Here is a 16,297-nt window from a genome sequence, read left to right as displayed (position 1 = left end):
AAACCTGTTACATCTAGTTACAATGCACGCAGAGGGCAGCTTGGATCAATGGAAACTAAATAAATGTTAGGAATCATTGTCAGGAGTTCACCTGCTGGTCTGAGGTTCAGAAAACATGGCATTTGGTTTGGACTGCATCACTTCCGCCTGTCTCAGGACTCCCCTGAACCTCAGTTTCTTAGTCTTTAGAATAGAATAATGTCTACAATTGTTTCCAGCACCAGAATTCTGGAATTCCACATGTTAGGCACCAGAAAGACAACAGCACAAGAGAGCAGAGAAAATAAACTGGGTCGCCAGAAGAATGAATACTTTACTGCCTTCCTGCCATCCCGCAGACCCCCAGCGTCACCCACCATCCCAAAAGGTACTTCCTCAACACAGGCCTGCTCTGGATGCTCTGGGACCTGGACAGACACATGTACAAGGAAGTAAACACGTTCTTTAGAGTGCTGTCGTCCCAGAGGACACTGACCTTCAAATATAAAGGCACAGCTACATTATCTGTAAGCAATCTGCATCATCCCATCCAAGCACATTAGCCCCTCACTGATCAACTACAGTCACCTCAAGCTGTGTCACTGGAAACAGAAAACTCAGAAGAAATGCACTTGTGGGGAGCAGGGAACACAAAGTGCCCTTCCTATGGTCATCTGTGGGCTCCATGAGGGCAGGAGCAGCCAGGCAGCTCTTCCCTGCCCCCCACTCCCTGCCCCTGGCTCTCCACATTGAGAAGAACCTTCCATGGGAGCAACACTCCCAGCCATGAAAGGACTAGGTCAGGGAATCAGGCGGGAATTTGAAAAATCAGCCCTAGATTTGGCAAGCCAGGATTCCCTTCCTCCAGCTCCTTGAGGAGATGAACCCTGTTCTCAGGGTGGCCCTTATTCTCACCAGTCACCAGCACCACCCCAGTGCCTGCAATATCATGGGCTCAAGATAAACATAAAAATATATTTCTGTACTATATATGTATTACTATAATATACATGTATTATTATAGAATATACATATAAACAATATACATAATATACATTTATTATTATGTGTAAATAATAAACATGTGCTGTGCAAATGAAGAAGTGAAAACATAAATGAATTAAACACACACACACACACACATATTTGTTCTGACCTATCTGTCTTGTTCCCCAGGAACCTAGGCTCTGTCTTGGGTTACCGTCTGTCAGTTCATCTGCTTCTCAGAGACTTTGAGACAAGGCTGGTTATAGAAACAACCCTGAGATTTTTCTGCTCAAAAATTACCTCCTGCTGGGGCTCCTCACCCTTCGTCAGTAGCACGCTATTGCCATGGCTCTGGTTCACAGCGTTATACATACACTGAGTTTGTAATCAGAATCTAGCAGAATCTATTTTAAATACATGGGGACTACAGTACATATGAATATGCTAATCAGCTAAGCTTAATAGTTCTCATTTGTATTAATGCAGATTAGGCAGCTGCATTTCCCACCAAATATTTTCTTTGGTATTTACTGACGAAATCAAGGTCCTGCTAATAAGTTCTAATATTTAATCTAAAAGCTCTAAAGAAGGTGCTTTAGTTGAGTATAATCTAATTTCACTGAACAAAATTGCATCTAAAAGCAATATAAAGTTACAATTTGTTCCTTGTCAAATAGTAAAAATGGCCTTTAAATTTTACATGGTTTTGACCTTTGGTTTTTGCGTTTCAATTAAACTTCCCTCAGAGCCCAGTGGATCAAATGTTCCCTGAGTGCGAATTAGGTCCTAGCAAGAGGTGCCTACTGGCCCTCTGTTTCTTCCCTTTGCAAACTGACATCTGTCTCCCTTTTGAAGCAGAGCAGAAATTTTCTCCCTCAATGGCTGGAGCAGAGGTAAACTGAAATATTAGGTCTGGCTAATATTTTGTCTCTGGACACCTGAAATTTCTACGAGTCAATCATCTAAATCCATTCCTGAATCAGCACACCAACGTGCAAGCCACCCTATAACTGGTCTGAGAATGACCCATCCTCTCCACTAAGCCATTTTTTAGCAAGGATTTTACCTTTGCAATACCTGTTGACATCTTGTATTATACTCATGCTTCATAAGAACCCAGGGATCCACAGGAGAGGTCATCATTTAACTTCTGACAGAATCAGATGCTCAGGTGTGAGAGACTGTGATGCCACCCAATATCCATTCTCCTCTCCCTTCTTGGTAAGAGTCCTATTTTTATTTAGGGCAATGATGTCTCCAGCTGTATACTGCATTTCCCAGTCTTCCTTGCATCTAGTGAAACAAAAAAACAGAAAAAGTCTTGGCATTGTATGTAATGAAACTATGGCATAGTAGAACCACCATACTAGCCCTGGCTACTACCTCTAGGCATCCTTTAGAAGACTGAAAGAAACCAAATGTGTTTTTCTGTTAAATGCAGCTGAAACAAATCTTGACTCTTGTAAAATTTATGTAGCACAGTTCCTGGCACGTAAGTACAAAATAAATTATAACAATTTCTCAGGCATCTGCTGGATGATCAGTTCAAATGATACTTCATGGAAACCAACCAAGTGCTCAGAGACAGAAAGAGAGAGAAGAGATAACACCTGCATATCTACAAAGATAAAGCAGAAACTGAGAACTGTATGTATTACCTAATAAGAAGGATAGTAAATATTTACTGGGTTTATAAGCAGCAAGCACTACTCTAAACATTTTACATGTATTAACTCCTCTGTATTCTCAACAATTAATACAGCACTAGGAAAACTGTGGGTCCACAATAAATGTGTTGAATAAACAAACGACAGAAAGCCAGACAACATCCTGCTTATCTGGATCTGAGCCTGACCTGCTGACTACCCTGAGCGTGATCTAGATTAAGTGACACACAAACTCTTCAGGCACACAGACAGCATATCCCTATGACCGTGGTTCCTCCAAGGTCAGGATCATTTTATCTCCAGCGGACTGGGGAATCCGTGTGTGCAAGGAATGTATCTCTTTCCTCAAAGAGAGAATTTCACCAGTGTATCTCTTTCTTGAATTTGAAAAATATATAGCACTCTTAAAGATTTTGCCATCTCTGTAACCTAGGTGGTTCCAGAATGAAGACATTGTCAGGGCACAGTATTGAAGGTGGAGGGGCCTCCAGGGGCCATCTGCCACAACATAGGGCCAGGCTCAAGCAGGAAGTTCTGGAGTTTCTGTAATAACCTACCAAGAACTGGGCACTTGCACGTGTGCCATCACAGTTCATGGTTACAATGGCCTCGTGAGTTACAAGGCCATTTCATGCAAAACACACTAAGGATTAGAGACATTGTGACTTACTTCATTCATCCAAACTTATTAAGCACCTACTATCTGCTAGGCATTAACTTCAGGGGATGTAAGAGAAAATACGGGCTATTACTTTAAGGAGCATAGACTTCAGTGAGGAAGATAGACACATAAACAAAAATCATATCTTGTGACTGTTGCTGTAATGAAAGTATCAGTTATTATGGAGACATATTGGGACTAGCTCACAGAAGACTGGCTATTAGTGCTCGGGCACAGATTGGGGCAGAGATAGGAGGCAGAAGGGAGGTAGTCCAGGAAAAGAGTACGGCTATACAAAGTATGATAAAGAAAGTGCAGTTATACAAAGTATGATAAGGAAAGTGCAGTTGGTGTAACTGGAGCATATGTCTGATGGCTTCGTTATGTTTTGATTTGGTAGGATGAACTACATTTTTCATAATGTTCTTTATTGTGTGTTTCTTTATTGTATGTTTCTAATTGTGGGGCCACAAATGAAATTCTTCGGAGAATTTGGAGAATAGGGAGGCAGAAATGAAGCAGTAGCCATTTTGTAGCTCACACATATTATTGCTTAACTGTTTATTTACTTCAATGGCATGGAGCAAGTTCTCTCCCTTCCCTTGGTACTCCTTAGTTCCACTGGCTCCTCTAGCTGTGTTTGTTTAGCTCCATGATGGAGGGCTCAAGATGCTTGTTGTTACAAAGGTCAGAGGCAACAAGTATGAACACAACAGCCTGTGCTCACGAAGTCTCAGCTTGTGCTTATGGGTTGCAGCCTGCTCATGACTTTTCTTCCCCAACTACCTGCTTTTGGACCTCAGTCTCTGGCATTAGATGAGTTGACAGCCTTACAGAGACTGCTTAACCAGTTCCCACAATTGTGTAGCCCAGTAACAAATCCTTACATATATACATATATATATATAAATACACACACACACATATATATATATACACATGAATATATCTCTTACTGGTTTTTCTTCTGTAGCTGAACTCTGACTAATAAAGAATTTGGTATCAGAAGTGGGATGCTACTTCAACAAACACCTAAAAATGTGGCAGTGGCCTTCAGACCAGCACTCTACCCAGGCAGTGGGTAGAGATTAGAAGAATTTGAGGAGCATAATAGAGAAAGCTTAAATTGCCCTGAATAGGCTGTTAGCAGAAATATAGAAACAAGAAGCCTGTCAGTAAGAGCTCATAAGCAAGGAAGGAACATATTACTAGAACCTGGAACAAAGAGGGGTCTTTATTACATAGTGGCAGAAATATCAGCAAAATTGTCATCTACTTTAAGGGGAAAGCAAAGCTTGTAAGGGGTAAACCTGGTTATCCAGCTAAAGTGATTTCCAAACAAAGTGTTGAAGGCACTGCCAGCAGCATCTTGCTGCTAATAGTGAAATGTGAGAGAAAAGAGGTAAATTGAGGGAAGAACTGTTAAATAAAAAGAAAGCAGGACTTGATGGTTTTAAAACTTCTCAGCCTCTCCAGGTGGCAAAAAATGCTGAAACTAAGAAATGACTTCTGAGCAGTCAGGAAAACATGGAATATAGATGAGACCACTCCCTTCCTGGAGCTTCCTGAATCACCTCATAATAAACTATTTGTTTCTGGTTCTAATTTATGAGTAACCAATCTAAAACGCATCCTTACTTGTTTTTCTAAATTTCAGGGACTTGAAGCTCAACCACATACTTCCTCAAATTCCAGGCCTCTGACCTTGATAATAAGACTATTCTGCAGAAGCTGGCTGCACCATTGTGCAGCTGAAAACACACACCTAGCCCAAGAGCCAGAGGGCCTGAGGTAGGGCCCAAGGAAGGTAGAGACATTTTTCACTGACCTAACCTTCACCCTACTCTTGTGATATTCTCACTCAGTGCCTTCTATAGTCTTTTCCTTAAGTGTATCACAAAAACACTGGTATTGGCCAGGGCTCCTCACTCACCTCTTCCAGGAAATTTTGTATAATCCTATGTCTTGACATGGACACATTACTCACTGTATTTCAATCCCAGCCCTTCCCCCTAAACTACAGCTTATCTACCCAACCTCCCCCTGGAAATCTACACTATGGTGTTGCAAAGGTAGCAACTCACATCAGAACTCATTCATTCTCTCTCTCTTTCTCTCTCTCTTTCTCACACACACACAAACACACACACATATCCCAGAGAAAATACCTTTTCCAACACACCTGGTCTATGAGACCAGACCACCTGGATTTGAGCCCTGACTCTAACATTTCCTGACTTTGAAACCTTGAACAAGTATCTGTTTTCACCTCCCTATGTTGCAACTTCTTCACATGTGATTGAGGTTAATAGTTCTTACCTCATTAGGTTATTGTAAAGATAAAATGAGCTCTATATGTAAAACAGAAGTGCCTGGCACATATTATACTCTCCATAAATTTTAGCTGTCAATATTGTTACTATATGATGAATTACATCACTCAATAATCCAAGGAATAACCCTTGAAATCCCCTACTGCCCTGCAATCCACACGTATCCAATTGATCATCAAACTCATTGGTTCTACCTCCTAAACATCTTCCTAATCCATTCATATTTCTCCATCCCAGCTGTTACCTCTTTAGTTCAAGCCTTCATGGTTTCCCCATCAATAAGGATCAGTGTATAACTGTCATGGCCCCCTACCTGGGTTTTATGTGAACCATAACCAAAACAACCCCACCCCTCTGTACCTATGGCCAAATCCCTTCTCCACACTGTAGCCAGAATGTCTTTCTAAACTAAAACTCTCATCATGTTTCTCCCCTGATTAAGAAGCCTTAAGAATAAAATCTTGGCTCTTTATGCCCTTCCTTCAGTGCTCCCTGCTGTCAACCCCACCCTCACTCTCTTGCATCCTACAATCCAGCCACATCGGACTCTTGGAAAATTTTGAACTGTATAAACTCTTAACGTGTCCTTCCTCCTACAGTCTTTGGTGCTATTAAACAAAACTAGAGCCAGACAGTAGTTAAAGCAGTGAAAACAGATTTCATTCAGGAACTACAGTGATAGGGGAAAAGAGACCTCAATATAGAACTGGGCTCAATTTTGAATATAGCAAGGACAAGTGGGGATTTATAGCCAAGGAGCAGGGTGGGTGTGAAAGGTAGGTGGTTGGAAAATTACTAAGAAGAGACATCAAGGGTAGGGGAATTCTTTCTAAACTAATCTAACGAGATCTTTGCTGAAGGCAAGTCTGGGTGATCAGATATCAAGGATGGAAGATGAAGAATTTAATCAGATATCAAAGGTGGTCAGATGTGGAGCTGGAGAAGCCCTTCCCAAACTTACTTAGTAGGATTCTTTTTTTTTTTTTTTTTTTCTGAGACGGAGTCTTGCTCTGTTACCCAGGCTGGAGTGCAGTGACCCAATCTCGGCTCACTGCAAACTCCACCTCCCAGGTTCAAGCGATACTCCTGCCTCAGCCTCCCAAGTAGCTGGGATTACAGGCATGCACCACCACACCCAGGTAATTTTTATATTCTTAGTAGAGATGGGGTTTCACCATGTTGGCCAGGATGGTCTCAATCTCTTGACCTCGTGATCCGCCCGCCTCAGGCTCCCAAAGTGCTGGGATTACAGGCGTGAGCCACTGCACCTAGCCACTTAGTAGGATTCTTGATAAAACTGATCTATGAAAGTTCAGTAAAAATTGGAGCCAAAGTCTAGGCCAGTTGAGAAGAGGTCTCAGGGGAGCCTTATCAAAGTCTGATCAAGGAGAGAGTCTTTGTCAGTGGTAAAATAAAACAAAAGAGGGGATTATTATAGCAAAGACTAAATTTGTATGTGGAAATCTAATCTCAAATGTGAGAGTATTTGAAGGTAGGGGCTTTGGGCAGTGATTAGGTCATGAAGGCAGAGGACCTCATGAATAGGACTAGTACCCTTATATAAAAGGCCCCAGAGAGATCCCTTACTCCTTCCACCATGTGAGGACATGACAGAAGAGGTGGCCATCTATGAACCAGGAAGCAGGCCCTCATGAGACACAAAATCTGTTGACACCTCAGTCATTGTCTTTCAGCCTCCAGAACTGTGAGAAACACATTTCTGATGCTTATAAACCATCCAATCTATGGTACTTTGCTATAGCAGCCTGAATGATCTAAGACAGAAAATTGATACTCAGAAGTGAGGTACTGCTATACCAAATACCTAAAAATATGGAAGCAGCTTTGGAACTGGGCAATGGGCAGAGGCTGGAGAGTTCTGGGACACATGCCAGAAAAAGCCAACATTGTTGTAACAGATCTTTAAGGGCAATTCTAGTGAGAGCTCAGAAAGAAAAGAGATCTGTAGAGAAAGCCTCAATCTTCTTAGAGAATATCTAAGTAATTCTGAACTGAATGATGGTAGAAATATGGCTGGTAAAGGCCATTCTGATAAGGTCTCAGACCTCATCAGAAATGAGGAACTTATTGGACAATAAAGGAAAGACCATCCTTATTATAAAGTGGCACAGAACTTGGCTGGATTGTGTTCATGTCTTAGTGTTTGGTGGAAGATAGAACATGCAAGCAACAGAACTGGAAATTTGGCGGAGGAAATATCTTTAAAAGTATTGAAGGAGTGGCCTAGTTCCTTTTGACTGCTTAGAGTAAAATGTGAAAAGAAAGAAATGACTTACAAACAGAATTATTAATCAATATGGAAACTGAACCTAAAGAATTGGAACATTTTCAGAATATCTGCATTGAAAATAATGAGAAAGACTACTCAGGAAAGAATACTAAGGGTGTGGCCAAATAACTGTCCAATAGAGATTAGTCAGTCATCTCAAAAGAAGCTACAAAAAAAAAATGCAGAGGAGTATCCACCTGCATTGCCCAACACTGCCTCACATCACTGGCTTCACTCCCCACACTGCAACTCCAAGCAATTCAGCCACCCCAAATTGTGGCTTCAGTGGGCCCTAGTCGGGGTTACCCTGTATCCAGCAAAGCTTTGGGGATGTGGTTACCTCCACCTAGATTCCAGAGGATGAGCTGACTGGAGCTGCTGGCATGGAACCCAGGCAGAGGGCCACTGAGAAGTTTGGGACCACCACAAATATACCCCATTAGGGCAATGCCCAGCAGAACTGTGGGGGTGAGTCCCCCTAGAGACCCTACACCTGTAGAGCCTCCAGCATACAATCGCAGCCTGGAAGAGCATCAGGCACACAACTCCATCCCATGAGAGCTGTGGCAGAGGCTGTGCCCCAAGCTGAGACAACAGGGCTACCCAGAGCCTTGGGGGCTCAACCCATGTCCAACAAAGCTGCAGAGGCAGAACTGCTGTCTCAGTCGGTCTAGAAGACAGAACCCCCACCACCGTATGCCTAGAGAGCAAAGCATCAAGCCAAGGAGACTTAAGGCATAATGTAATTTGCCTGTTGGGTTTTAGACTTGCTCAGGACCTCTTCCTACTTTCTTCTTTCCTATTTCTCCCTTTTGGAAGAGGATTGTCTATCCTATGTCTGTCCCTCCATTGTATCTTGGAAGCACAGGACATGTTTGATTTCACAAATTCACAGCTAGAGAGGAATTTGCCTCAGGATGACTCATATCTTGAGTCTCACCCACATCTGAATTAGATGATATTTAGAAGATAGTTTAGACTTTGGGCTTTTGAATTGACAACATGTGAGAAGTACATTAATTTTGAGGGGCCAGAGTGAAATGCTATAACTAAATATTTGCATCTCTCCCAATGTATGTGTTGAAACTCTATTCCCAATGTGATGGCATTTGGAGGTGAGGCCTTTGGGAGGTGATTAAGTGACTTAGAAATGGGATTAGTGCCCTTATAAAAGAAGGCCCAGAGGGATCTCTCACCCCTTCAGCCATGTGAGGTTACAGTAAGAGGACAGCTAGCTATGAACCAGGAAGCGGGCCCTCACAGAACACTGAGTCTGCAGGCACCTTGATCTTGGACTTCCCAGCCTCCAGAACTTTGAGAAATAAATTCCTGTTGTTTATAAGCTACTCAGTCTACAGTACACTGAAGCCCAAATGGACTAAGATAACCCCTATACTCTTAAGTGTCCCAAACAGCAACAGGTGAGTGAGGAGGTGTTTGGTTGGAGTCCTAGGTGGGAGAGGCAGGCTGGGTAGCAGGTGATCCAGGAGCAGTGGTACACCTGGACCCTGGACTGCCCTGGCCTGCTTCAGAAGGCCACTCCTGGCTGAGTGTAGCCCCAAATTCCATTTTGCTTGCTTGCAAGGCAAGGGATAACTCTGGCAAAAAGGTTAACTAGTCTAATCACAGCAAAGGTCAGGACCCCAGTGATGGAAGCAGACTTTTCCTGCAAGAGTGGAGGACATCTCCATAGGAGAAGCAAACCGAGGCACTCTGATAGAAAGGCTTTTATGTTATAGGGTTTGAGTTTCCTTTTTTCAACCTTCCAGGAAAAAAAAAAAAGTAGTCAAGAGGCTGTCAGGCAGCTCAGTGTCTCCATTAGAATTCAGAGTATTCCACGGTAATTACAAAACAGCTGTAATGGAAAATTGGTAGTCAAACCCATTTTCCAGCGACTAGAACGGTGAATGGGCTCCATTATGTTCCTAATTCTCATTAACTTAATTTGCATAGGAAATAATGAAGGAATACATAATGAGGTACAGTGGGCAAGCAGCCCAGCCCTGGCCCCCACGGTGCTGGGCTCAACCCACAGTGACCCACCCCAAGGGAGGGAAGGCCAAGTGCTGCTGTTGGGCTGGACTCCACTGGGCAACCTGAGGCTGCTGCCCTGAGCTAGTCCAAAAACTAGCGAGGTGGAGGATGACTGCTTGCCTGTCACTTGCCCAGGATCACCTTGCCTCAGCACGCCCAATGCAAATCCTATTTCTTCTCTCCACTTCCCTCCCCTACTCTTGGTAAGGCTGAAGAACTGGAGCAGAAGGAGGAGGGAACTTGTTTTCGGGTAAGCAATTCCAGGCTTTGGCTGTGTGTGCACGCATGTTTCTCCCTACAAATCTGGTTTTAATTATAATTGGCCCTGGCAAAAGAATGAGATCAGCAGCTGGGGAGTGGGGTGGGGTTGGGGTGCAGAGATAGGCCTGAGCTGAGCCCTGGGTGCTTTTGAGGAAGTGAGGACAGCAGAGCCTAGCTCCAGTTTTGCTACCTTAAGCCATAGTGACCACATCAGACCAGATCTTTGCTGGTGGATTGAATGGAACTCGAAGTAAGGCAGAAACAGGTCACAGCCAAAGCTCAAAGCTCAAACAGCCAAGCTATCTCCAATTCCACCTACCAAGCTGTGACGGTAGTGGAAAGCCAGAAGTTCTTTGTGTTCTCTATTTTAACAAATAAAATTACAAACCAAAAAAGATAGTGGTACCTTCAACTCACAGTGAGTTTAGGCATCTATGATATTTTAGACACTATACTGGACTGTCTCAATGAATCTTTACAGCAAAACTGCCAGATAAGAATTATATCAATTTCATTGATAGGGAAACTGAAGCTCAAAAAATTTTATATGCTGATGGTTTAGCTCTTCACAGGCAAAGTCTGGTCTTATGGACCAGCTAGTCCAGCCAAGCTGATACTTCCCAAACTTTATAGCTTCACGACACTCATAGAAAATGATCATATTTGTATAGGGTACTCAGGGTGAAGAAGAGAGAATATGGAACCTGAAGAAGGCTGTCCCAAACTCCACTTGGTTGAGGGGATCAGTATTTCAACCCATATGTGTTGGAAACCTCAAGTCTAATTCATAGGAAAATGCTGGCCCCTTCCAAGAGCTACCAGGAAGGTGTATATGCCAGCAATATCCCAACAGTGTCTCACTTGATAAAACAAAAATGTCTGAAATCCCACTACTAGTTTGGGTTAATTATTGCCCTCTGCATATTTCTCTTTTTAAATGCATATCTCTGTAGGTGATGTATAATATTCATCCCATAAAGAAATGCAATGTAAGGAGCATTTAACTCAAAGTAAGAGACTCGGGTTTGTTTCCTAATTCTGCCACTACATAGCTGAAAGAGTTATGCAATTCATCAATTCATTTCAAGGGAGCTGGACCAGATAACTTTCCTTCTCTTAAAACTCTGCAAAGGTACCTATGTAGGCTTTTATCTTGAGGTGAGAATGGGAATGGGTCAGTGCTGTGCCAAATGCTGAAAGGAAGAATGGCATAGGCAAAGTGAATGAAAACAACCTTTTTTTCCAAAAATTAATCATTCCAAGCTGCTCCACACCAACCCTATTATCCTCATCATCTCCAACAGCAATTTCCTGAGAATGTACTAAGTTCTGGGCATCACACATATATGGTTCATAATCCCTGTAACAACACTATGAGATGGGTTTCATCATCACTGTTAGATATGGCACTGTCACGATAAGAGGTTGAAGCCATAGAGCTGGGTGTTTCACCTGCTCTTCATGTGCTTCTCTGTCTTACCTAGAGCCTGCACTTTCTTCACTTTTTGCAACAACTTGCTGCCTCTCCTTTACCTCCTTCTGAGCCTGGAGTGGATGACATGGTCTTCACCATTTCAGTGAACTCTTGATGCTCATGGTGAATTTGGGAGCACAAGTGTGTCCCATCTCATTGGCTCCCAATCTCATCCTCAGAGACACTACCTATATCCAAAATAACTGGAGATGATTTAAGCAGAACTTTTGGTTGACTTGACCAATTGGATTGGTTCTTCAGGTGCCATAGCCATGCATCCCAGACAGAGACGCCCTTGACAACCAACACAGCAATCCTTTGTGTCCAAGGCCAAGGAAAACAACTAGTCTGCATTCATGTGCACAAACTCTTGTCTTTCTGTTTGTGCCCACCAGAAATCAGTTCATACAGTGCTCAGTGTTTGTTGATTAATGAGTTGACTTACTGCCTTTATTAATAACCAAGACTATTTACTCTGTGCCTGGTATGTGGAATCATTTTATCAAGAGTTATAGAGAATTTTACATTTCTCTAGTTTGTAAAGCACATTTAGATTTTCCATCTCAGTCTTCATATTGTTCCTCAGGACTGCTTGCTTCAGACAAGGCACTGAGAGATGGTCTCCTTTCTTGATGCCAACCTCATGGCTTAGGGAGTTGCTGTAGGATATGGCAGGAAAAGCCCAAGAGACCAAGTTCAATGTTCTAATGTCATCCAACTTCATCCCTGATTTTAAAGAGAAATACCAGCTGGCCTATTTAACCAAGCACCAGTTCCAAGCAACTCCCACTCTCAAATGGACTGGCTTTTAGATTAGTTTTCCTGCAGGTTCTCCAAGCACTGTCCCTCATTTCCTATATATAAGAGAGCAAAGCTGAACATGTGCTAGAAAGATTCAGGGCTGGTTTGTTTGTTCCCTTCTTGGGTTCACTCAATGGCACTTACACACAGACAAAAACCCACTTGTGGCTGAAGTCTCCCACGCAGAGTTGCAGGCACGCAGCGTTCCCTCAGTAAAGTGCCTCTTGCTGTGTTCCTGGGAACCAGCACCGCACCACACAGCTCTGCCAACTGCGTCACTTTTAGATTCTGGGCTTTGAAACCAAATAAAAATTGATATGTGTGTAATCACATTTGTTTAATTAAAGTAACACATCTGTGCAGTAAATATTCCAGCACGAGCTGGTCAATAGCAAATCCTCAGCATGTACAGTAATAATTGACTAATGTAATTAAATGCATGTCAGAGTTTTAAAAGAAAATATAATGAGATTTCATCATTTTATATGTACAGGTAATTAGTTCTTAGGAATGTGAGTAAAAGCAAATTATCTACAGATTTGAACTATCAGCAGATAATTCAAATGACCTAGTTTGGGAGAGAAAATGGTATCTAAAAACTAGAGAAATTTAAACCAAAACAAGCATTTTTTTACTATTAAATCAGAAAGCTACGTTAAGAAATGAGAACGAATAATTTTGCTCAACATGTTTTCATGGAGCTTTTCTCTTTGGATGAGTTGTGCCATAGTGAGGGCACCAGATTGGAGTGAAGTCTCTTCTGGCCTCCTGGTTCATGCTCCTCTTCCAGCTGTCTAGGTATCCAGGAACTTCCTAGCCTCAAGTTCCAGTTCATTTTAAACAAATCTTTCCTTTGGTTTCTTCTGTGTTTAAGGTGACCCACTTCCTGCTGCTTCTCAACAGTTCCTATTTCGTCCAAGAGTTATCATCCCAGTTCCTGGATGGCGCATGCACATAGAGGGCTTGGGAAGGGCATTCCAAGAGTAGGGAACAATATGAGCAGATGATGCAAAGATAGAGAAAAGTACATGTCCTGTTTGGGAAGCAGAGAGGAGCTCAGTCTGGCTGGGGAAGAGTCCAGTAGAAGAGAAGGAGATGTGGCTGTCAAAATAGGCAAGGATATGATGGGCAGAAACTTGAATATCAGCCAAGAAGTTTGAGCATCATTCTCTGAAGGCCATATAAAGTTGCTGAAGATGCTGTTTTTTGCTACTTCACTCAATGCTAATCATGCCAAATGCTTCAAAAATCTCAACACTCAAATACAAACTAGCTGCTTGTAGAAACAGTCAAGTCCTCATCACAAAAACCTGGTCATTTTGATATTAGGGTTATTTTTCTCCATGATGAAAGCTATCTGTACACTTCTCTCTCCCACTGGGTGATGCCTCAATTTCTTTCCCTTCTCTAAACCCCTGCAAATGTTGACACTGCCACCTTAATGGTCCACCTTAGTGGCTTATCTTAGCAACTGTAGCTCTGGATTGTCAATCAGAGTTTTATTGCCATAGGCAGACTAAGCATGGGCAAGGACAGCATGAGCCTGTCCTGTGCATGTGAATTTAAATTTTCCATATGTATACACAGGCTGTTTAGCTTCATCTTTGCTGCCATGATTCTGTGTCAGGAAATAGCAGTGAGAGAACAGAATGACCATGATAAATGCAAGATTTGGCCATCGTTTGATACGACAGCCAGATGTTCCTCACTAGTTGGAGGGCAGAAGCTTTATGGAGTTTCATGGTTAGTGGCTGTACTGAGGGATATGCCACTCACTCCCTGGCTTGCACCCCTTGGGATCAGAGCCTTCCTTCTCTGGGACAGTTTGTGCTGGTGCATCAGTGACCAGAGCTAAGCGTCAATGTGGCCCCATATTTACAGCTTAATAGTTGGCAGTTAATAGTTCCTACAACAGCAACAAAAAATGCAATAACAATAGTAATAAAGAGGAAACCTATAAATTAAAAGACACAGGCATATCAACCAAAAACAATGTACTTATTTAACAAATAACAAATAACTTATTTGGATCAAACAAACTGAAAATTTCTACATATAAAACAATTGGATAAATAAAATCACTTGCTAGATACTTGTGCATAAGGAATTTTTAAGTTTTAGGTATAACAATTATGTCATGGTTTTAACCTGTCAATCTTTTTCAGCAAAGCCCTTACATTTTAGAGATACAAACCAAAACACATACAGATGTTAGGATATAATGATGTCTGCATTTCCTTCAGAATAATCAAGGAGAGGGAGGAAAAAGGAGTCAGTAAGGTTATGAATGAAAAAAGAATGTACTGGTAATTGTTGGAGCTGTGAAATACACACATAGGGCTCAATATACTAGTTTCTTGACATCTATATATATTTAAATTTTTCATTTAAAAATTGATGATAATTCTGATTTTTAGCTAGCCAAAGAGTGAAGACCTTCTGGGTTGCTAATTTATGGCTAGAGTTTGAGGTTGAACTGAGGCTGGAGCTCTGGTTCCATTTGTGGCTAGGGTTATAAATTTATAATTTATCAAGTATGGAGCAATCTACGACCAAAGAAAGAATCCAGGAGTGGTCAGACAAAATATAAAGTGGATGATCATGATTATGGGGTAACTTGGGTCTGGTCTTGAGATCAGTCTGTGGCCAGCTTTAGAGATTGGTACAAAGCTGGAATTAAGAAGAAACTGTAGCCAAAGTAGGAGGTCATTCTTTCTGGAATTAAAGATGGTCTATGCCATCAATTACAGAATTATGTATTTCCAGAGCTAAAATTCAAACATGTGACCAAAGGGAGAGGAAGTTTTAGATTTTCTCTGTGGTGATGTGGGGTAGATGGCATGTTGGGTCTGGTATGACATCATATCAGTGATTGATAAGATTTAGAAGCCAGTGTGTTGAAGTCAGGATTAACTATGAATGATTTCAGGGAGCTTATTTGTGACTGGGGTTAAGGGAGTCTACAGTTCAGTTTCTCACTGGGGTTTTGAGGTGGTTTTACACTCTAGGATGCACAATTGGTATTACCCGAGGAAGGAGGGTAAGTAAAAATGTCAATAACTAGGCCCTACCTAAGGCCATTGATCCTGGAACTCTGAGGTCAGGGCCAAGACTTTGATGAGAAGCCCTAAGTTAGAGTGTCACAGAGTGACCAGACTAAGATATCCTTTACATCTGAAGTTAAAAGGTGTTCTGTGACTAGAGTTTCAAGTGTAAGGAGTTAGGCAGTGGCTACATAATAGAGAAATATGTGGGCCTCCAGAATGATGCAGCCAGTCTACTTTTTTTTTTAGCACTGTGCTAATCCTGGGGTCCCTGATTCAGACCACCCAAGAAGCACACATAAATAATGTGGTTCCTTGATTTAAAACAATGCTTCTGACCTACCTATGTAGCACATATTGGAGTCTTTTTACCTGAAGCAAGAACAGGTTTCTCCACTGAGAAGACCAAGGTCTAGAGCCTATCACCATTCAAGATCATGGATAAATGGTCCATTAGGAAACCGAACCTCAAATCATGGCCTCAGTTGATTCCTGCGCCAGCCCACTTAGCTAACTCACCTAGCAAGACCTTACCAACAACCCTATATAGAGTAAAATATATGATAAGCAATGGGGCTGAATGGAAAGAAAGTCATGAGTATTATAAATTTAAATGATAGAAGGAGGGTCTCTTAGTCCGTTTAGTGTTGCCCTAACAGAATGCATGAGGCAGGATAATTTATAAAGAAAATAAGTTTATTTTGCTCATGATTCTGATGGCTGAAAATTACAAGATTAAGTAACTGCATCTGGTGAGAGTCTCCTG

At 42.0% G+C, this 16,297-nt stretch overlaps 1 protein-coding gene across 1 annotated transcript in view; it reads left to right on the top strand.

The window, feature by feature from the left end:
• Positions 1–284: 284 nt before the first annotated feature.
• The window catches only part of LOC105372073 (uncharacterized), a 40,272-nt gene continuing 24,259 nt past the window's right edge, over positions 285–16,297 (top strand). The window contains exons 1-2 of the mRNA XM_047437984.1: positions 285–367; positions 2,492–2,613. Coding sequence (XP_047293940.1) covers positions 2,503–2,613 — 111 coding nt within the window. The 5' untranslated portion in view covers positions 285–367; positions 2,492–2,502. The remainder of the gene's footprint in view (positions 368–2,491; positions 2,614–16,297) is intronic.

This window comes from Homo sapiens, chromosome 18, assembly GCF_000001405.40.
Source record: "Homo sapiens chromosome 18, GRCh38.p14 Primary Assembly".
Taxonomy (NCBI): Eukaryota; Metazoa; Chordata; class Mammalia; order Primates; family Hominidae; genus Homo; species Homo sapiens.
This window is presented reverse-complemented; position numbering and strand designations above follow the sequence as displayed.